The sequence below is a fragment of the Homo sapiens genome, chromosome 7 (assembly GCF_000001405.40).
Source record: "Homo sapiens chromosome 7, GRCh38.p14 Primary Assembly".
Taxonomy (NCBI): domain Eukaryota; kingdom Metazoa; phylum Chordata; class Mammalia; order Primates; family Hominidae; genus Homo; species Homo sapiens.
The window spans coordinates 8,570,159-8,592,101 of NC_000007.14; the positions used below are offsets into that span (position 1 = coordinate 8,570,159).

Below are 21,943 nucleotides of genomic sequence, written 5' to 3' on the forward strand. Positions count from 1 at the left end.
CTTAATTTATTTAAAAAATTGACTCAGAAGAGATTGATGTTTTGTTGATATAAAACTGTTAAATATCAGCAGTTTCATGCAGTTCAACTTGGTAACTAAAGTGAGATATGATAATGGAGGCAGCATAGTTAAGATGATAGATTCTAGCACTAGACCTTTTGGACTTGAAACCTGGCTCTGGCATGAATAAGCTGCGTGATCCTGGGCAAAGTCATCTTTTTGTGCGTTAGTGTCATTGTGAAGTGAGGGATAGAATAGTACTTACCTTATAGGATTGTTATGAAGACGGCACATAACATACACAGCACAGTAATTAGTAAATAATGAGCCTTGTATACTATAGTAATCAGCATATGTAGAAAGTGATGTGCGAAGGCACCCAATTGTGGGAAGTGCAGATAATCATATTGGGTGTTGGGGGTTTTTACTGAGGGGATCATAGAAGTTTTCACAGAGAAAGTATGACATTTGAGATTCAACAGGAAGAAGGAGTTATGCAGGCAAAGATTACTCTAAGTACAACTTAGACAAAGGACCTGGAATGTACAAAGGTCTGGAAGTGGGAGGGAAGAGTTTCAGGAGCAGAGAGAAGTGGAGTAGGGTTAGAGTTTAAAATGTGGGTCTTTGGAATGGAAAGGAACAGGGCATGATACAGTCATGGTAGATTGGGTGGTTTATATTTTGATAATTTGGTAGGCAAAAGAGTCATAAGGAGATCTTAACCAAGAGAACAATAGCAGTATTGTGATGAATTGCAATTGAGGGAAGACTTCTTGGGAGTTTATAAAAATAACCTACTCAGAAGGTGGTTTCTGTTATCAACAGAATCAGTATATATATGTCTGTCTATCTGTCTGTCTATCTAATCTAATCTAATCTAATCTAATCTAATCTAATCTAATCTAATCTAATCTAATCTAACTCTGGTTAGAAATGGGAATTCCTGGTCCCACTTAGAATTATGTGGTCCCACCTCACCCAGAATCTTTAACAAGATCTCCAGGTGAGCTATAGCATGTTGAAATTTGAAAAACACTGGCTTGACAATGTCATAGGAGAGTCTGGGCTAAGACAGGAATAGTGGGATGTAAAGGAGGGTGTGAGGACCACTCCCAGATATATTTAAGAAGTGGAACTGAAAAGATTTGACTGATATGGTATGGGGATAGTGGGTAGTAAAGAGGATGCCCATCGAGAATATGTCTGTGATTACTTATTAGGGTTTCTTTGTGGATGGCAATGGGAAACACAGGAAAAGGGGAAATTTGGGGGGAACAGAGGTGGGAAAAAGAACTCATTTTATTGCATATTAAGCAGCCTGTAGGACATGGAAGATCCATAAGAAATGGATTGAGGAAAAAGGAGTCACTTTATAATGAGGAAAATCTTAAGAAAGCGGTTATCTTAATGTCAAGGAAGAGTCCCAAAAGGACAAATGCTAGACATATCCCTCTCTACTGTTCTTCTACAACAGAACAAGGACAAATTAGAATTGGTTCTCTAGTAAGCATTAACTACTCTGAAAAATTTTGAGCTTGTAAAGTCAAAGATCTCTGGTTCCTCTGTCAAGTATAAATGCATAAAAATAAAACCGTAAGACACAACAAAGCTTGGTAATTTGTACGTAATTCTCCTCCATAGACTTGGCAGGAATTCAAGCTCTGGAATTGGAGAGGTTAAGGAGTCCTAGTGATTCCTTGGCATCATTGTTGGTGGACTTGTTAAAAAAAAAAAAAAACACTTGGTTTGGAAGGATGTGAATAATTTAGATATCTGAATTCACTATCTGCTGAGTTGAAATGAAATGCTACCAAGGGGTAGGCTTGAAAGGTTATTTAGCCAGATTGTGGAATCTCTAAATATGCAATCACTCCCCAACTCAGAGTTGCCACATTTAGCAAAAAACAGGACACCCAGTTAAATCTGAATCTTAGATGAACACAAATAATTTTTTAGTATGTCTTAAATAATGCATGGAATATACATATATTTTAAAAAGAATCATTATCTGAAATTCAAAATTAAGTAGATGTCATATATTTTATCTGGATACTTCCTCCAATGCCCTAATTATATTAAATAATTGCAATATATATATTGCAGATATAATGAAAATAGCAAATAATGTTTAAGGGCTAAGCTGAGAATTTTGTAAAACATTATGTAGAAATTTAAAGCAGTGATTAATACAAACATGTATATATTCAATTTGGAGAAAAAGAAACAGAACAAGCTTGCTGGAAAAATTATGCCATGATTTTTCTTCCTGTGCTTATGATAAAATTACTGACTTATTTTTTAAACCCTGCATACGTTTTAGCACCTCATTCTATAATCATAATACAGCATTTAGTGGCAAGACAGTCTATTATTAAGGTGTAAGGTATCAAACAAACAGTAGACATAGAGCTGTGAAGGTAAAGCCTGATGCTTATTTTTTTAAAGCAGACTCTGATATTAAGCAGATGTGCTTGTAGTGAACAAGGCAATGTTGAAAAATCAAACTCTATTGCAGGTAGCATCTAATACATAATGGAAACCTCCTTTTCGGTTGGATCTGTTTTTTAAAATTTTAAGACTTGGGTATATATTAGTTTTTTTTCAATTAAATTCAACAAATATATCAAACAGAATATGCAATTAAAAATAGTTGGAAGTAAGAAATATTATGAGGCCACAGAGAAATAAGGAATTACTTCCATCAAGGGTCATTTGAGAAGGTCTTACAGAGGGCAGCATGAGAGCATCTTCTTAAAATACAGGATTTGAAAAAACCTCAGTATGTTATTTTTTTTCTGATTAAAAGTAATACATGCAGGAATTTTGTAGAGGGGAGTTTAAAAAAGCAGCAGAAAACAATTACCCTGAATCTCAAGACCTAGAAATACTGATATTGTTTTGATATATTTCCATCCAGTCTTTCTCTGAGTTTTTTTTTTTTTACCCAGTTAAGATCATACTGTGTACATGCAATTTTCTGTCCTGCTATTTCACTTAACAAATGTCTTAAACATTTCTCCTTGTCATTAAAAACTCTCTGTTCACATCATTTAAACCAATCATACATTATATTGGTGAGTAGTGATTTTCAATATAATTGTCTAACTTTGGGTTTTTATGTACTGATAAGGTTTTTAAGCAACTGTTTTACATTTAAATAAATTTATATCTCTATTTCTGAGTCTTAGAAGTAAATTTTGGGAATTAAGGGTATAAAACGACATGAATGGTCTTGACATACATACTACCGAACTACTTTATAAATAGATTATCCCAATTTAGACTTGAAGAGTCAACAGATAGAGACAGGAAACAAAAGAGCACTATAGGGCATAGGTGGGGAAGTGTAGTATGTATTTGGCAACAAGGAACAGTTGGAATATTTTGGAGCATAATGCATGAGTGATGGATAGGTACAAACAGCCTGAAAAGGCACTTTAGAACCAGGTTATGGAAGCTCTTAAATGCCAAACTAATGCAATGAGCTTTCTTTTTGCAGGGAGTTGTGAGCCATGGAAGGCTTCTGAGTAGGAGAATGCCATGACTTTAGAACTTTCTTCCAGTTAATTATAGGTTATTAAATGTCTCTGAACTTTTGGATCATGACCAAATAATATTTAAGGTCATCAGCTATCAAAATTTGAATGTCTGGAAATAAACTATGCCATTGGCTCCTGATGTTTAAAGACATCATTGACATTTACCTTATTGAACATAAATTGATTTTTACACACTTCTGTCAGTGACTACATAAAGCTCCTGGAAGGTAAAAAGTGCTAGGTCAATTCTATGTCATGGAAACCTTTAAAGGTGTACTCTGGTGGTATACAGAACTGTGAGTGTCATAAAGATTTATTGAGGATTTAAGATGTTCTTAGGACCTTCTAGCTTAATGATGTGCCCTGTAAGTGTTCAGGCTCTGAGCAGGACCAGAAGAGCAAAAATGGTATAAAAAGGCTATTCAGGTACATATTGTCTATTTAAAATCTGTACACGGTTTGCACCTTTTCCCTAAGTGTTCTGTTTGTCTATGACATGAAATATTCATCTGAAAAGCTAAATAAAATACTCAAATTTATTTTATATTTTCTAGGCAAAACTGTTTTTTTAAATTTTCAAAATTAAAAACATTTTTTTAAGAGATGGGGTCTTTCTATGTTGCCCAGGCTTGTCTCCAGCTCCTGGGCTCCAGCGATCCTCCTGCCTCAGCCTCCCAAGTAGCTGGGACTCTGACTCGAACTGACTTTATTTTATTTTCTCTCATCACATAGATGTTTTTATGGAGCCATTACAGATTCAGTTTAAGATTGCTCAGTCTAGTCAATAGGTTGTCTCTTTCTGAAGGAAAAAGATGGAATCTGTTAACTTCTTTCACATGAGTGCATACCCACAAAAAGGAAGATGGAACCCCAGATGGAGAAGGAAGGCCAAACAACACCACAGGTTGTTTTCCTGGTGTCTGCATCACATGTACTTAGTGGGTGGGACAATGAAAGCTTCCAAATTTAGAATCTATTTAAACATTGAAGGTTCTGTGTTTCAAATTCAACTTGATCTTGTTCAGCCTTGGATTCCGTCTCCTGCTGTCACAACATCCCTTCTCAATTCGAAAGGGAAGAAAAGAGATTCATAGGACCTCAAATAGAGTTTCTCTGGCATGGCTGTGCATCAAGTGTAAATGAATCAGAAAACTGAGCATTAACTTTTACTTGAAATAGATAAGACTTTAAAAAATAGGGATAAAAATGCACTGATGGTTTGAAATAGCAATTCAAGTAGTTTTATGGCACTTACCACCAGACATGCTTGGTTAAGAGAGTGAGGTACTCCTTCGACATTATAGCATTCGTCGGAGACGTTCTGTTAAATCTAAAATGTAAATAGCTTCTCCCTTTTATATTATGTTTGACTCTGACATTAATGCTGTATCCTTTAAGTGACTAAAAGAGTATTTCTGACTAAGCCTTCTAATTTTGTCATAAAACTTTGCTCAGAATGAATTTTTGCTTAAAAGGCCAACTCTAATCCATTTTTCTTTTGGCCAATTTAAAGCAAATAAATCAGGTCAGTTCTCTTTATGACACAAAAGGGAAAAATGATAAGTTTTCTTACTTCATACTCTTTTATTTTTGAATTTCTACAACTAAAATGTCTCTTTTTCTCCTTTAAGTACAAGCTGACAGGTCATTAATCCTTAATGTGAATTTATACCTCTGGGTATTTTGGGAAGAAAACTCATTAAAATTCTTTTGTTTTATATGTGACTGTCCTAATAGAAATTTGGAGTTCATGTTTAGAATTTGTTTCAATGAATAGAAAGCATAGAAATTCTTTTAAAAGAGTTGAAGTATATGAAATTACTTCTACCTACAGTCAATGCTGTTGCTCTGATCTTAAAAGTCTGCTGCTAACTTTTCTGCAGAAAGAACATAAGTTCTGTAAGCTCCATATTTTCAATGTGAATAGATTTATTCCATTTGAATTATCTGGATAGGCCTATGCACTTAATATAATTTTCTATAATGTTTCCTGTTTTTCTGTGAAGCACTGTTTTATTTTTCTTTAATTCTACCAAAAGGTGAGGCATTGGGCAATGATCTTTTTTTTTTTTAAATAAGCTCTTACTTGGTCAAAGTTAGCTAGCTATGGCTTATGTATAGGCCCATTTTATGGATACTGGTGGATATATTCTGCAGCCTGTTGCTGGATCATAGTTTCCCATTATTTCCTCTCTCTCCAGTTTCTTCCTTCTTTATAGAGTGCTTGAAAGCCTTCTAAATGAAAAAGAACTGCTATCAACAAACTTATATTTCAAGATTATTAGAGAGATTTTATCATCTGTAAAAACTTCCCATCTCAATAGGGGATGGGTATACCTGCTTCTCTGATTGTCCAGAATAGCTTCTATCTCTTTTTATTCTAGCCACTGATAACAACACAAGAACTGATGAAGAGAGATATGCCTTTTATTTGCTTTCTTTTTCTTAAGCAAGTATATCAAACTCTTCCATGGTCTTAACTGTATTCTAGGCATATGTTTGAAAACTCCATTCATTTCATGTTTCCATACTTAGCAAACATCAACTATGCCTTGAACACTGTGTTGGGCACTGGGAGCACAATAATGACCAAAGTAGTCATCATCCATGCCCTTTGGGGTAGGAGTGAGGAGAATGTGGCAATCAATGCTATCTGACTTGTTCCACAGGGAATAAAAGTGACAGCTGCGATAAGTGGTATTAAGGACAGACATGGTGCTATCATGTGTATAATAGGAAGAACTAATTTCTACTGAAGCGCAAGGAAACCTTTCTTGAAGTACGTTTGAATGAAAGGATGTACTGAGGGACATTCTAGACAATGTAGCTTATGGAAGAAAGTGGTGAATGACTGTAATGTAGGACTGAAGGAAGGCTGCAGCCTTCTTTCACACGTAGGCTTAGGAGGGGTCTTGTGAGGTGAGGTGGGAAAGTTATATTGGGACCAGATCGTACATGACTTTGTGGAACAGACAGTAGAAAAAAAGGATCTAGGAGATAGTGATTTATTAGATAAGAGAGGTGAGGGAGAGAGATGTGATAGGATAAGTACCATGTTTTTGACTTGTTCCTTGTACTGATGATGGTTGTTCTTCATTGAAATGTTGCTTTTCTCTTGAGTTCATTAGATTATAAACTCCTATAGGGTCAGAGTTATGTTTCCAGATGAACTAGTAATCTTGAATATTAAAGTAATCAATTCTGGTCTGCAAAATTCTCTTTTTACTCTGAATGGCCTTTACTCTTTTATGGTGAAAATTTACAAATATTTACTCAAGCATCTGAGTTCCTTTAGAAACAAGGCCAAAGAAAATGCAAATAATGTTATTATTATAACTTTGAAATAATGTTATTATTAGAACATTTGAAATGATAATAATATTAATACTGTATTAGTCAGGAATTCTAAAAGCTCAAATCCTCCCTGTATTGTTTAATGTATTTGCATAACATTCACGGGAGTATCTAAATTGTGAATTTCCATTACAAGGATAATGCAAAAAAGATTGACTTTGGCAGTTTCTAATCCTCTTATCGTTTCTTTTAATATAAGTGATAAAGTTTATTTATCTATACATTTTATTCAGAGCTATGCTAGTGGATCAAGTAAGACTGCATTCAGAAACCTGGGAATTGTTGCAGGGGTATGTGTCTTCTCCCACTATCACTAACCTTCTCCTCAAAACCAGGAGAGTAACAATCTTCTTTGCTGTGGTGATTGGGGAATATGTATGTGTAGTTTCATTACTTGCTTCAGTATTCCTTGTTTTTGTTTGTTTGTTTGTTTACTGTTTACATCAAAAACTACCATTTGTTCCTTGGGCCACCCTTTCATCTATTGATCTATGATTCCAGCCATAGTTCCCTTCAAACATTTATTATCAATTACACACTGTGCATGAGGCACTGTACTAGTGACTCTGGACAGAGAAAATGACATCATCTGTGGAAGCCAGCTTGAAGGCTTCCAGTGCTCCTTACCGCCTGATACTGTGCCCTTGTGTAGTCTCCTTCCACAGTGAGTCAAGGCTTGCCTGTGTAACTGAACAAGTATTACGGAGGTGATGATGTGTGATTTTCAAGGCTTGGTTTCAAAGGGCATTGGGTCTTCCATCTTGTTTCCTTGAATCACTTGCTCCTTGAATCACTTGAGAGAGGCTTATTTGAAGAGGGACTGAGGCTACTTATCGTACCAAATTGTGAGCCACATGAGTGAGCAGACACCTTAGAAGTGGATCATCCAGCCCTATGCAAGCCTTCAGATGACTGCAGTCCCAGCGGACCTCAGACAGAAACCTCACGAAATACTCTGAGCCAGAAATATCTAACCACACTACTTTTACATTTTTTCCCCATCAAAACGTTGAAAGATAATCAATGTTTCTTATTGTTTTAAGCCACTAACTTTTGGGGCGATTTGTTACACTGCAGTAGACTCCAACACTGGTTCCTACCTGAAGGTATTATTCTCCCTTCTATAACGGAGGAGGGTAGCATGGAGCTACTTGATTTACAAAGGGCTTTCATCCTGATAAACCCATTGTAAGTTGAAAATACTGTAAGATGAAAAGGTCAAATTCAAAATTTGAAGTACAGTTTCCATTGAATGTGTCTCCCTTTTGCATGATTGTAACTTTGAAAAATCCTAAATCAAATCATCGTTAAGTCAGGGACTGTCTATATTCACATCTCAGCCATGTCCCAAACAATAATAAAGTTCAACTATAGCCTCAGCAAATAGACAGTTACAATTCGAGCTTTTCAGAATTCATGCCATAGATAATAGTAGTGACTTAGAATTTTCTAGCAATTTGCAATTTACTTTTGCAGTTCACCAAGTACTTTCATACAATAACTATAGTCCTCTGAAAGCAGAGCAGATTTTATAGATAAGGAGTTAACAAATCTGTATTGAGTAACTACTGCAGGCTGGTCATGAACTAGGTACTGAGGTCATAGCAGAAATAAAGACGGACAAAGTCTCTGTTTTCACTGAAGAGGGGAGGAACACTTAAATGGTTACCAGAGCATGCTTGCTGCCAAGGATCAGGCATAAGTTGCTATGGAAACATAAAACAGGGGGAAGCCAAAGTAATATAAGGACCAAGAAAGGCTTCTCTGAAAGCATTTTAGTTCAGTTGAGCCTTACAAGATTGCAGGAGTTATCAAATGGAAGAAGTGTGGTAGGTAAAGATGAGGCAGAATATTCTAGGCATATTAAAGCCTGAGTCAGGATACAACATGTGTTGTTTGAAAACCTGAAAGAACTCAGGTATGGATGGAGCAGGACAAGGAAGAGGACACTTGGTGCTAGATGATGCTAGAGAAGCAGGCAGAGGCCAGGTACTCATCACCTTAGACCACTCAGTACCACATGTTTGTGAAAGTTAAAGGGAGAAACGTGAAGTGCAAGGCTGCGTGTGGCTGATCTAGAACTTGAACTCAGATTTTCTTTCCAATCCTTTCATCTTTTAGTACTCACTATTTCTTTATTAGAGTATCCTTGACAGATAGAGAGCGAGCAACCAAATACCTGCTTTAAAAGAGAGGAATAAAACAGATTCAGTGATGGCAAAGACAAGACTTACCTAAAATTATAACTCATTTGTGGTAGAGTAAGGAACTTCGCTATTAATCTAAGATTCATGGAATTCAAGTTTTTTTTGTTTTTTTTTTTTGTTTTGTTTTTCTGAGACAGAGTTTTCACACTGGTTGCCCAGGCTAGAGTGCAATGGTGTGATCTTGGCTCACTGAAACCTTTGCCTCCCAGGTTCAAGCAATTCTCCTGCTTCAGTCTCCTGAGCAGCTGGAATTACAGGCATGCACCACCATGCCCAGCTAATTTTGTGTTTTTAGCAGAGACGGGGTTTCTCCATGTTGGTCAGACTGGTCTCAAACTCCTGACCTCAGATGATCCGCCCACCTCAGACTCCCAAAGTGCTGGGATTATAGGCGTGAGCCACCACGCCTGGCCGGAATTCAAGTTTTATGACACAAAATTCAGAATGTAATTTGTTTTATCCACTTGGTTTCATTTAAATCACATGATTGTTCCACTTGATTGCCAGAAGCATCTTTGGCAGTGTTGCAGAGCATAGATCACAGGGGCTATCAGAGACCTTGAAGGATGGTCCAGCTATAGCCATCCCTATTAAATCCATTGGGGGGCATCTAGGGATCATCTAGAAGCGGGTCAGGCATTTGTCTGCATTGAATGCCTCTGGCTTCAGACCTACAGAGAAAAAGCAAAGTCTTTACATAAAAAACGGTTGATGTATTTGTTATCAGAAACAGTGAGTGGAGAGAGATGGGAAGAGTCTGTGCCATTCCACAACTACTTTTGGCCAAGAACTAAAAAGCATAAAATGGGCAGTGGCTGTTAGTTAAGGAGAACAAAGTAGGCTGAGGCCCTGAGGCCTGCTTCACTGGGGAACGGGCATGTAAGGATATGGACGGGACTTATGACCTTCCATGTAAGAGAACAGAAGGAAGGTAGCTTATGCAGCATTTATATGCCGAATCAAGAATGGGTATGGGCAAAGGATAATGCTGATTGAATATGGAGTTTAGAGGAGATAGTCACAGGCTGCTATTGTTAAAAGTTTATACTTCCACTGCCTATGACACCTTGAAAGATTGAAAATAAAGGCAAGAAGAGAGACAGGATGTTACTAACATCCACTTACTCTTGGCAGAAAAAGATTAGGAAACCAAGAATTCTTGAATTACTAACCAGAGACTGCTTCCTCAGGCAAGAAGAAGCTATTACTCTGCTTGGAGATTAGGGGGCTGAGAATGGGAGAGAGGCTGATCCTTGGAAAATTGCAAAGCTGCTGAAGAGGCAGCAGCTGAACATATTTTCCTTTTATTTTTGAATGTTTCAATGTCTGAAGAAAAAGATATCAGTCATAGTACTGACTGGCAGTGATCCAGAAAAACCTCTGGAGAGCTTAGAATTCTGATTGGCACTTGAGTGAAGTTCCCTGACACCCAAGCTGAATCTGCGGCATTCATGCAGGCTGAGTTGTGTTGGTCACTTTTTTTTTTCTTCTTATGCAGAGGGAAAAAAAGTAGTTTCTGGGGCCTGTTAGGCTTAAATTCCTTCCAGAGCAATTAGGGCACCTGCTTTCTTCAAATCTCTGTCCTTCTATCAGTGAAATATTTTAACATCTGGAACTTGGCAGATGGAATTGTTCTTATATTCTTAACATTTTCCTTTTTATTTGGATTTTTAAAAACATAACCATCAATTCTTCTAGTCCTCTAGTGTTTCTGAATGAGTGCTCATCCCTGAGAAATGCTAAATCCCTGAGCAAGAAAGGGAGTTACAATCAAGGACCAAATGGGAGTACATTACATTCACCTTCCACCTCTACCATTCTAGAAATCTTTGGTCTACAATCCTAGAATTTTCAGGTTTATTGAAATTTTCCCCAGAGGGGTTAGGATGGAAGAGAAAGCCATTCTCTTTCTCATTCCTGTTCTTCCTTTTTTTAAAAATATATACTTATTAAAGACATCTATGTATCAGGCATTGGGGAAATAATATGTATTAGTCCATTCTTGCATTGCTATGAAGAACTACCTGAGACTGGGTAATTTATAAAGAAAAGATGTTGAATTGGCTCATAGTTCCACAGGCTGTACAGGAAGCCATGGCTAGGGTGGCTTCGGAAACTTACAATCATGACGGAAAGCAAAGGGGAAGCAGGCACATCTTACATGGCTGGAGCAGGAGGAAGAGAGAGAATGGGGGAAGTGCCACACAGTTTTTAACAACCAGATCATGTGAGAGCTCACTCACTGTCATGGAACAGCAAGGGGAAAATCTGCCCCCAGGATCCAATCACCTCTCACCAGGCCCCTCCTCCAACATCAGGGATTACAGTTCGACGTGAGATTTGAGTGGGGATACAAATCCAAACCATATCCTAATGATTAGCACAACATGCTGGAGTCTTCACAGAGCTTAGAGTGTAGAAAGAAACACACATATGAAACAGAGCTTTTATAGTCCAGTGTGATAGGAGCCAAAATAGGAAATTGTAGGTAACTAGGGGACAAAGTAGCGATATTCAGCTTATTTGGGAGGGAGAGTACAGGAGGTCAAAAAGGACTCCCCAGAGAAATTGCCATTTAAACAAAGTAATAGTGTCATGGGCTCCTTGGGGTGTTGCTTTGCTAGCCAGAAACCTCTGTGGCCAGTTGCATCTTCTGCCCCTGCTGCCTCTGCTTGTGCTACCAGCCCAGATCCTATACCTGCCAAGGGCGAGACAGGTGCAGAGTGGTGAGGGGTGTGTGGGTGAGCAAGTGCTGGGTCTGGCGTCTGCACATAGCCAGGCATACTGGCTGCTGTGGCAGGGTGGGCAGCTCCGGGCACCAGCACAGGTGCTGGCTCTGTGACAGGCTGTTGCTGGATCAGATGTACTGCACGCAGCTTCCACTGTGGGCACTGGCATCTGGATGAGGGGAACCCAGTGGCACTGGGAAGCTTGTAGATGCCGGGAATCACAGAGCCCCAAAGACAGTGTCATAGCCCTGGCTCTGAGAGCCTCCAGGTCTGGTTGCCTTCTCATTGACCACAGTATGGTGAGTGGGGTCTGTGTTTCAGCCCTGTTTGCGTTATAGCTCTTTCAGTCCTGCCATTTGGCAGGTCCTGAGTTCTTGTCCTGTGACCAGGAAGAATGAGGTATGTGCACACCCAACTGGAGGGCGAGCAAGGTGGAGAGGAGCTTCACTGAGTGATAGAATAGCTCGCAGGAGACTTGGAGCATGTAGCTCCTTTCTTCAAGCAGGTTGTCCCGACGAGTGTCCAGCTCTCAGCAGAGAGGAGACCTGCAGTGGGTAGCTCTGCAGTGGGTAGCTCCTTTCTGCAGGAAGGTTATCCTGGTGACCCGAAGTGGGTTGCTTCTTCCTGTAGCTGGTAGTTCAGACAACTGTGTGAGTCTGGCTGTGTCTAGGGGGTTTTTATGGGCTCAGAAGGGAGGAAGTGCATGCTGATTGGTCCATGGGCCCCACAGGTGGGCCAGAAAAAGCACTATGAGTAAATTCTCACTCTGGGTGCTAACTCCACCTGGAACTGACAGTCCAGCCCCCATGCTTCAGGCTGTCCCTGGCTTGAAGGTGGAGCTTCACTAGGGACCCACCCCTTTCCACCCAGGAGCCTGTCAGCCTCCTGCTGCCATCAATTATGTTGTCAATGGCACCCAGGCTGTTCACGCTGAGGGGCAGCTGCAGGCCCACGCCAAGCCACCCTCAGCACCCCCTTGGCCTTCCTCCCATGCCTGTTGGCACCCAAAGTCTGAAGGGGGCCAAGGGGGCAGGTGGCTGGCATGTCAGCACCACCCTGAGTGTGCATACACTTGGCCGGGTTGTGACAGTGCCCAGGCTTGGTGACAGATCCCAGCTGTGCTTAGGGATCTGCTCAAGTATAGGCTGGATGCTTTCTTGCCCACAAGGATATAATGAGGACTCCCATCCTGACTTCTAAATTGTCTGCCAATCTGTATATCTATTATGACTTCCCAAAATAGGTACAGAGATCTGGCATTTCCCAACCATCTACTATAGGTAGACACGCATTGTAAAGTGCCTTCTGGGGTCTGGAATCAGAGTGTCTGAGTTTGAATCCTGGCACAGCCATTTATTAGCTATGTGACCTTAGGCAAGTTACATGGCCTCTCTATGCCTCAGTTTCCTTATCTATAGGTAAAATGTGGATAATAATAGTACCTGTATCATAAGATTATGTGAATTTTAAGTGAAGTAAGGTCAGTGCCTAACAGATTGTAAGCATTCAATGCATGTTTGCTATCATTATTATTATTATTACCCCATTATTACCCCCATCTTACAGTGGGAGAGACTGAGTTGCAGGGGGTTTAAGAAATGTGTTACACAGCACTTAGTGATAGAATCGAGGATGCCACTACCCTGGTGAAGGATGACATACTCTGCTTTTCTGGTAGAGAGAGCAGATATTGAACAGGGGCCGAGAGCAACAAGTGCAGCAACAGTGGTTCACAGACATTTGCCAGGTGGTCAGGACTTGAGAACTGACAAAGGTGAGAGGGCAGGTAGTCCCCTCCCATTCCCTCTTTATCTTTTGGAACTCCTCTGAGAGGTGGAGGAGAGGTAGGGTAGCAAGTTATTCTTTCATGCTACAGCCCGGTCATGGAGCTCTTTGTTGGATATGGAAGATGTAAAGTGGTGGTCAAGCTTCCAGTAGCTAATGGCATACAGTGAGAACACAGTTATCTGCATGGTCTCTCACAGAAAATTTAACATGGCTGAGCCTGTCAGTTCTCCCAAACTATTAATAAGTGTAAGCTAATTTTTCTTCAGATATTACTATGCATTGGATGCTGTTCTGTGTACTTTACAGATATTAACTCAATTAATATTCACAACACATTGGTGAGGTAAGTACTATTATTATCCTAATTTTATATACGATCAAACTGAGGCATGGAGAGGTGAAACAACTTGCTGAATCTTATAGAGCTGTAAAGTGGAATCAGGACTTGGCCCTAGATAGTCAGACTGTAGAGCCTGTAATCTTAACCTCCATACTTAGAACTTTCTTAACTGTGAAGATTAAAAGAGACTATTGAAACACCAATAACATTGTTCCCCAATCCCTGTAGGAGCACAGAATAGCTTAGTTTGCCTTCTTCCCCTACAGACTTGTCTTCCTCAACAAGAAAATAAAGCTTTAGTTTATTTAACAAATATGCATGCATATTTTTATTATATATAAGCTATTTAGGTTTCATAGGGGGATAAAAGATGAATAAGATTTCCTTTAAGAGGTCAAGATCTAATAAGCCAAGCTTTCTATAGAGACAAATACACACTCAGAGATCCAATACAAAATAAAGTATTAAATGGTATCACAGAGGGATAAAGTGATATGGAAATATGATCAGTACCATGGGTTTGGAGGACTTGTTCAAAAAACATTTGTGATTTATTAGATCCTTAACCACTGATTCCAAGTGGAATCTGGGGGATCGGAATGGAGATGGTTGTTAAGGTTTGAAGTTGTTTGTGTTCACCATTTAAACATCTAGTAATTTCACAATCCTTTTGTGTCCAAGGTATCCCATTTCAAATTATTACCTATCTCAGTGGCCTTTTCACATTATTCACAATCTTACATTACTTTGTACTATGTATCTTAAAACATTTCTGTCTCATTTAGACTGCTTAGACTGACCACATAGGAATTGCTTTGGTAACCAGGACTATCGATATCTCTTTCTGTGTTAAAAATTGACTTAAGGCCTCTCTACAGTTTAAAAAAAGTTGTCATTTTACATTTTGATTACTTTTCTATATTGGAGATGTCAGTAGTGTTCAAAGTCTGGAAACTGGCCTACCTAATATTTTTACTGCTCTCTTTTCATTGGGAAATATCAGTAATTTGGGGGACTTTCTCTAAAATTATTCTATGTCTGCAACATCTGGTAACATGAAATACTTCGTTTGCTTATAATTCTTTCTTCTGTGTTTTTAAAATATAAAGAGATGCCTCTTCTGTTTATTTGTGCCCTTGTAAAAAGGATCCAACCTGCTGACAGGTGCCCAGCTCTGCCTGTGGGGTCCAAATGAGGTATGCTTGCTCTGCCTGGGAGTGGGGAGTTCAACTGAAGCTTTGTGTTTTTGCTATAAACAATCCTTTATTATGGATCTTGAACTCTGGCTTTACTATAACGTAATTCTTAGAGAGTAGCTCAATTCTTTCAGTGTAACTTGATATAATCATTCATGGGTAAATCATAACCAGGATTACTGATGAAAGAGCCAGGGTTGGTAGAAAGAGTCGTAGGGACAGGGAAACTTGCCCCAGTCTTGCTGCTCTTACATTGAAGTGTCTCGTATCTAAGAGTCTTAAATATGTTTTATGAATCTATTTGCATCCTTGCACTCAATCTGGTAATATGATATGTTTTGGCTGGACTGTTTATATTTCAAGAAACTTTGTTTGTGTATTAAAATAAAAAAGATGAATGTGCATCACATATGTTGAAACATTTGCAATTAGTTGGTGCTACTCTCTTAAGTGATTGGGCAGGGCAGGCAGACAGCCAGCCTTGGCAATCTTTTCAGATTCTTTTTCATGCCAATTTGCAATTTGTGACAGTGCCACATTTTTATCGGGAGGGCTTTATTGAGCTTTGGAAAGAAGTACTTCTTGACCTGAATAGGTGGGTTCTTGGCTAGAACCCTAGAACTGTTTCTTCCTCTAATATTTTTCCATGGGAATGTTGGGGATAAAACATTATAGAAAGCTCAGTGTGGAACAGACATCGACCCTTTTACAAGTTATCATGGAGAGGTTTGCAATACAGTTTGCTGTAGAGATGGAGTGATAGTAACACAGAAAGTCTTGAACGATCTCATCATGAACACACCGTATCTATCTTAGTTGGTTAGATAAGAATGGAATCAATTGACTAAATCAAATGAAAATTTTAATCCAAAAACACTGAGGAACCTAAAATGCTGGAAATTCAAATCCCAAAACACGCTGTTTGGGATACTGTACTAGAACCTCATAGAACAGGAATGCAAGGGGAGAAGATTGTGGAGGGAGGTTGTATAAATGGGTTTGAGAATTTATTCCTGATCTCAAAGAGTAGGGAGTTTAGTATGGAATTCGATAATAATTCATAGAAACTTAATTAATAAAAGCCCATGTCATATGAACCAGTGCCAAATTGATTGCTGGTATGCAAGTAGAGACCACAGGATCTAAGAGGAAATGAGGACCCTGAATACTGTGATGGTCAGAGAAGTTTCCAAAGAAGACATGAGTTTTGTTCAGTCTTGAAGAGTAGAGCCAAATAGCCAAGGTAGAAAGGGGATTAAGGAACAGCATGACCAAAAATTCTGGGGGAAGGAATGGCATGTTAAGAGAATAATGAATATATATATATATATATATACACACACACACACATCGAGTAGAAACTTCACATACTGTAAGTTGGAGATTTATTTTAGGATAAAAGTAGTGATTTTCAAAACTTTTAACCTTTTGCATTCCAGTTGGAATAGCTCTAAGATTTTTCTTTGTGTTGGTTTTCTGTGTTGTTTTACATATTTGATAATGTGGAGTAAGGTATTTCAATTGATTTGAGTTGGGAATTTTAATGCATCAGACTATGAAGGAGAAAGTAAAACACCATGCAATACTCTATCCCTTAGAGAAAAGACTATTGTTGACATTAGGTAAATATTCCAGGCAATTCTCTTTGAATGCATAAAGATGGATACATAGATAATTATTAGATAATCATAAATAATAAAAATGGGATCATGCTATACCCGCTTATAAATTATATTCTCTATTATTTTCATGTAAAAATAGTGTCAAAATACAGTTAAGACTTTACATGTCAGAGAATTCAAAATGACATTTCATTTCCTAGTCATATCTCAGGCACCATGTTTCTCATAACCTTAATACCTTTGTGACATTTATTTGAAAATAGTGGCTGTGCAATCCTTTATTTTAAATTTCCTGGGTTCGTGTATATATCTCTAATTCTTATTCACAGTGCTGCATTTATTCAAGGGCAGATTTTTAAACTTTTTTTTTTTTTATAGAGGGGAATGGAGTGCAGTTTTGCTATGTTGCCCAGGCTGGAGTGCAGTGGCTATTTACTACAGTGATCAGGGTGCACTATAGGCACCAACTTTTGAGCTCAAGGGATTCTTCCCAATCGGCATCCAAAATAGCTGGGACTATAGGTGCATGCCACTGTTTCTGGCTTCAGGAGATAATCTTTTTAAAATTATACTTTAAGTTCTGGGATACATGTGCAGAACGTACAGGTTTGTTACATAGGCATACACGTGTCATGGTGGTTTGTTGCACCCATCAATCCGTCATCTACATTGGGTATTTCTCCTAATGATATCCCTCCCCTAGCCCCCAACCGCCCAACAGGCCCCAGTGTGTGATGTTCCCATCCCTGTGTCCATGTGTTCTTATTGTTCAACTCCCACTTATGAGTGAGAACGTGCGGTGTTTGGATTTCTGTTCCTGTGTTAATTTGCTGAGAATGATAGTTTCCGGCTTCATCCATGTCCCTGCAAAGGACATGAACTCATCCTTTTTTATGGCTGTGTGGTATTCCATGGTGTATATGTGTCACATTTTCTTTATCCAGTCTATCATTGATGGGCATTTGGGTTGGTTCCAAGTCTCTGCTATTGTAAATATTGCTGCAATTATGATCAGACACTTCTCAAAAGAAGACATCGATGTGGCCAACAAATGTATGAAAAAAAGCTCATCATCACTGGTCATTAGAGAAATACAAATCAAAATGACAATGAGATACCATCTCACGCTAGTTAGAATGGCAATCATTAAGAAGTCAGGAAACAACAAATGCTGGAGCAGATGTGGAGAAATAGGAATGCTTTTACACTGTTGGTGGGAGTGTAAATTAGTTCAACCATTGTGGAAGACAGTGTGGCGATTCCTCAAGGATCTGGAACCAGAAATACCATTTGACACAGCAGTCCCATTACTGGGTATATACCCAAAGGGTTACAAATCATTCTACTGTAAAGACACAGGAGTGAATTTTTTAACATGTTAAATACATTGTATTAAATGACACTATGGATGCAAGTGGCAGACATAACTTGTACTAACTCAAAGAAGAGGGAATTTATTAAAACTGCACTGGGATATCTGATATAAATCAGGAAAGACAGGGAAAGTTGTGTCCCAGGACAGTGAAAAAAAAATGGAATGGAATCTCTGCTTATTTTTGCACATTGGCCTTCTCTTGCACAACAGACCACATAACTACATGGTGGGGAATATGGTTGTTCAAGGCTCCCAGGCTTTAATTTCCACAGCCCTCCAGAGAGGTACTGACTCTTTTTCATTAGTTCCATCTTGGAAGACTTTGGGGAAAGACTGGTGTGGCTTGGGTTAGGTGCCCAATGGATTTTGAATAGAGTCACATGGCACACACCTGGTAATTGGAGTACATTCCTGTTTATCTTGTGTTCTAAGATGAGGGAGCTGAGCAGCCACCCTCCTCTAATTGGTGCCAGATATATACATAAAACTACACTTGGGTTGACATGGACAGGGTGCTTAAAATGCGATTATAAGGCCATAAAATTTAGAACACTTTGGAACTTCATTGTTTACAATTAAGGAAATAAGGTTGATAAGTGTACAATTTATTTACATGCATGCTGTAATCTTTAAAAAATTTCCTTTGTGTATTAGCACTATATGGAAATAGAAAAAAATCTAGACTATCCAAGTTTGTAATTTAAGAATAAAGCAGTATGTTATTATCAGTGGAGGAAAAAGGATTCAAAACAGCTTTCTGGTGCAATAAAGTTTGCCTGCTTTCACACCTGGATAACTGACTTTTAGAAATATCAAATTTAACTTCTAAAATATTTTTCCTCTGCTCTGGGCTGTGGAAAGGAGGCTATAGGTGAATATTAAAAAATGGTGACTAATCTTAAAGTATAAGATGAAAATGGACACCTAAAATAGAATCTGAGAATCAGAGAATTAGAGGTGGAGCTGAACTATCTTTGGCAGGCCCGGTCACTTGCATCATATTAAGTCACAAGGTATAAGATTTTTGAGCAAGACTTCTGAAAATTGTAGTTTTTGATGGGTGCAATATTAGTCCTTGAAATATTACTATCCAGAAGGAGAAAGTAAGTATGCACACCAGCAAACAGGAGAAGATAGCTGAGAACTATGTGGATGGAATCCTGCTGAAGACATGAGATGGTGGAAGAGTGGTTTCTGAGGGAGTATGTACCAGAGAGGGTATTATACCTAGCAAAAAGTGAGGGTGAGGAGATCAGCTTCTGATGCTGGACTCCAGGGGCAGGAGACAAGAGCATTGGTCATGCAGACAGAGCAGGTGAGTGAGTCAGAAAAAGAACGAAAAAGATAACCTGAAGAGAAGTTGGTGAATAAGTATAAATCTTGAACCAAATATGAAGTTGGGGCTGAACGGAAGCTATTAAAGACTATGCTCTGGGAAAGGACAAACAGACCAGAGAGCAGGTCTACAGTTGTAGCTGCACCATCCAATAGATAGCCACCATCCAGTAGATAGATAGCCACCATCCAATAACCACCATCTAACAGCCACCATCCAATAGATAGCCACTAGCCACAGGTGACTCTTTAACTTTATTAAAATAAAATGAAATTCAATTCCCCAATCTCATTAGCCACATTTCAAGTGCCCAATAACCACATGGGGTTAGGGGTTCAAAGTCAGTGCAGGCATAGAACATTTCCCTCATGGCAGAAAGCTCTATTGGATAGCACTGAGAGGCTATGACAGTGAGCCTGAAGTGAACATGAACCTGAAGCCTTGACCCATGTCCTGGCTTCATTCTTCTTTTCATAGTTATTGGAGGTTGACTATGTTGGGAATCTACTTGGATTCTGACACTAACATTTGGGGGCAAGCATCTAGCATCACTAGAGAGACAGATACTGGAGGGTGGGTTTAGATACGAAACTCTGCATCCAGAGTTCTCTACTTCCTTCCAAAATATAAATAAGTAAGTAAGTCTAGGTCTAGGCTACCAGGTAAAGACTTGTTTTAATTATGGTTAGCCAAACCCTAGAGTGATCCTTCTGCTTCCAATCAAGGCTGTATCTAAGCCATATAAAACAGTCGACTGGCCAAGCTCTTTTTAGATGTTGCTTCATTTCTCCAAGGACATGCTAACTTTGTCCAGGATTTAGTGGGAAAATTAGAACCTTTACAGATGTCAGGTCTTTTTACATAATAGCGACAACACCTGCCTTACCGCAAGAATGTGGTGGTTTAAGATCCTGAAACTAAAGCCATCTCATTTTTGCATAACTCAATCTGTTCATGAACAATAAATGTTAAAAATTGAAATTCACATTCTGCTATTTGTAAATATTAATTCTTTGGCTTGGTGTATTTATTTTAACTTAGATATTTTTTGCCCTCATCAATGATTCTTCCTAGAAACAGGGACCTTTTTACAGTAATTGACTCCAATTTTGTTGAACTGGTAAGCAATTAGGATTAGCATATTTATTTAGTTTTTTTGCTAAATTTTGCTCTTTTAAAAATGGTATTGAGGAATAATGTCAAGGCAACACATAGAAGCTCATTTTCTCACTCGTTGAACTGTTCCTATTTTTAACTCAATGGCTTTTTAAAAAAATTACATCGGCTTTCTGAGGCTATTAGGCTACTCTTCAATTAGGTGTTGCTTCTGTGTACACAATAGCATGCCAGAAGCTGGAAAGTGCTCATGCAGTTTCAGAAGTGTTTAATTTGCTACCAGGGAATAGCTTAGTTTAGAACAGCGTAAGAAAAGCAGAGAGGAGAAAACAAGATACTATTTCTCACACCTACAGTTACCAAAGAAGGATAATAAAACCAATGAGACCTAATGTTTATTGAGTGTTTACAGTGGGATAAACATTGTGTCGTTCTTTCATGTGTTTTCTTCGACCCTCACAAGAATGATTTCAGGTAGGTAAGATTGTTATTCCTATTTTGCTGATGAGGAAACTGAGGCTTATAGAGAAAGAGCAATTTACTCAATGACACAGAGCTAGTAAGTGGTGGATCTAAGATTTAATACTCAAATTGTTTGATTCTAGAGACCTTGTTTTTAACCACCACTTTCATATCTTAGTTGACTAAGATGGCTGTTTACTGAACACCTTCTTTGCTTTCCCACCTGTATCTTTTCTCAAGCTGGGCTGGAAATACCCTACTCCTAGTTGTCTTTGAAGTTTTATCATGCTTTAAGATTCTTATCTCCTCCAAGATTTTCCACATCTCTTCAACCAATATGAACATTCTTCTTCTCCCTTAATCTTGCAAAACTTTGTGTTTCCATTCCATTATTTGCAAAGCCTGCTTTGTATTGGAATTTTATGTCTGTACTGTGAGCTTCTGAGGAGTCAGAACTTTAACATATAGAAGTTTTATTTCCCCTGGCACCTAGAAGTGTGTTTTAATGTGGTAGGTACACAAAATATTTTTGTTGCTGACAATTTTGAAATTTCACTCACAACTTAATGAACACTGTATTTGCTGACTTTGGGTTGAAAGGGAGGGTGAAAGGGCTGAGGTTTCTTTTTTTTTTTTTTTGATAGTCTCTTTAGTTGCACTTCCTTATGTTTGAGGACAAGTTGTCTGTTGTCCTTTAATGGTGACCTTCAGGGTTACAGGCATTCATTCAACAGATACTCATTATCATCTTTCAGTCTTCTAGGAGCCAGGCATATGATGGTGACAAAGACTGATTGTGTCACTCTTCTCTTGGAGTTAAGGGATAATCTGGAGAGGCGAAAGATTGTCAAAAGTTGTCATCTAAATATATAACTGTAA

General features: G+C 38.6%; 1 protein-coding gene and 1 long non-coding RNA gene across 4 annotated transcripts in view; one reads left to right on the forward strand and one right to left on the reverse strand.

The window, feature by feature from the left end:
• Positions 1–21,943, forward strand: part of NXPH1 (neurexophilin 1) — a 319,353-nt gene that overhangs the window by 136,550 nt on the left and 160,860 nt on the right. The window lies entirely within an intron of this gene.
• The window catches only part of LOC105375144 (uncharacterized), a 67,939-nt gene that overhangs the window by 5,634 nt on the left and 40,362 nt on the right, over positions 1–21,943 (reverse strand). For 2 of the 3 annotated variants that reach the window (XR_007060208.1, XR_927017.4), the window contains exon 4: positions 21,811–21,892. The exons of the other annotated variant lie outside the window; for it this stretch is intronic. This is a non-coding gene — a long non-coding RNA (uncharacterized LOC105375144). Of the gene's footprint in view, positions 1–21,810; positions 21,893–21,943 lie in introns of those variants that run through there. 3 annotated transcript variants of the gene reach the window in all.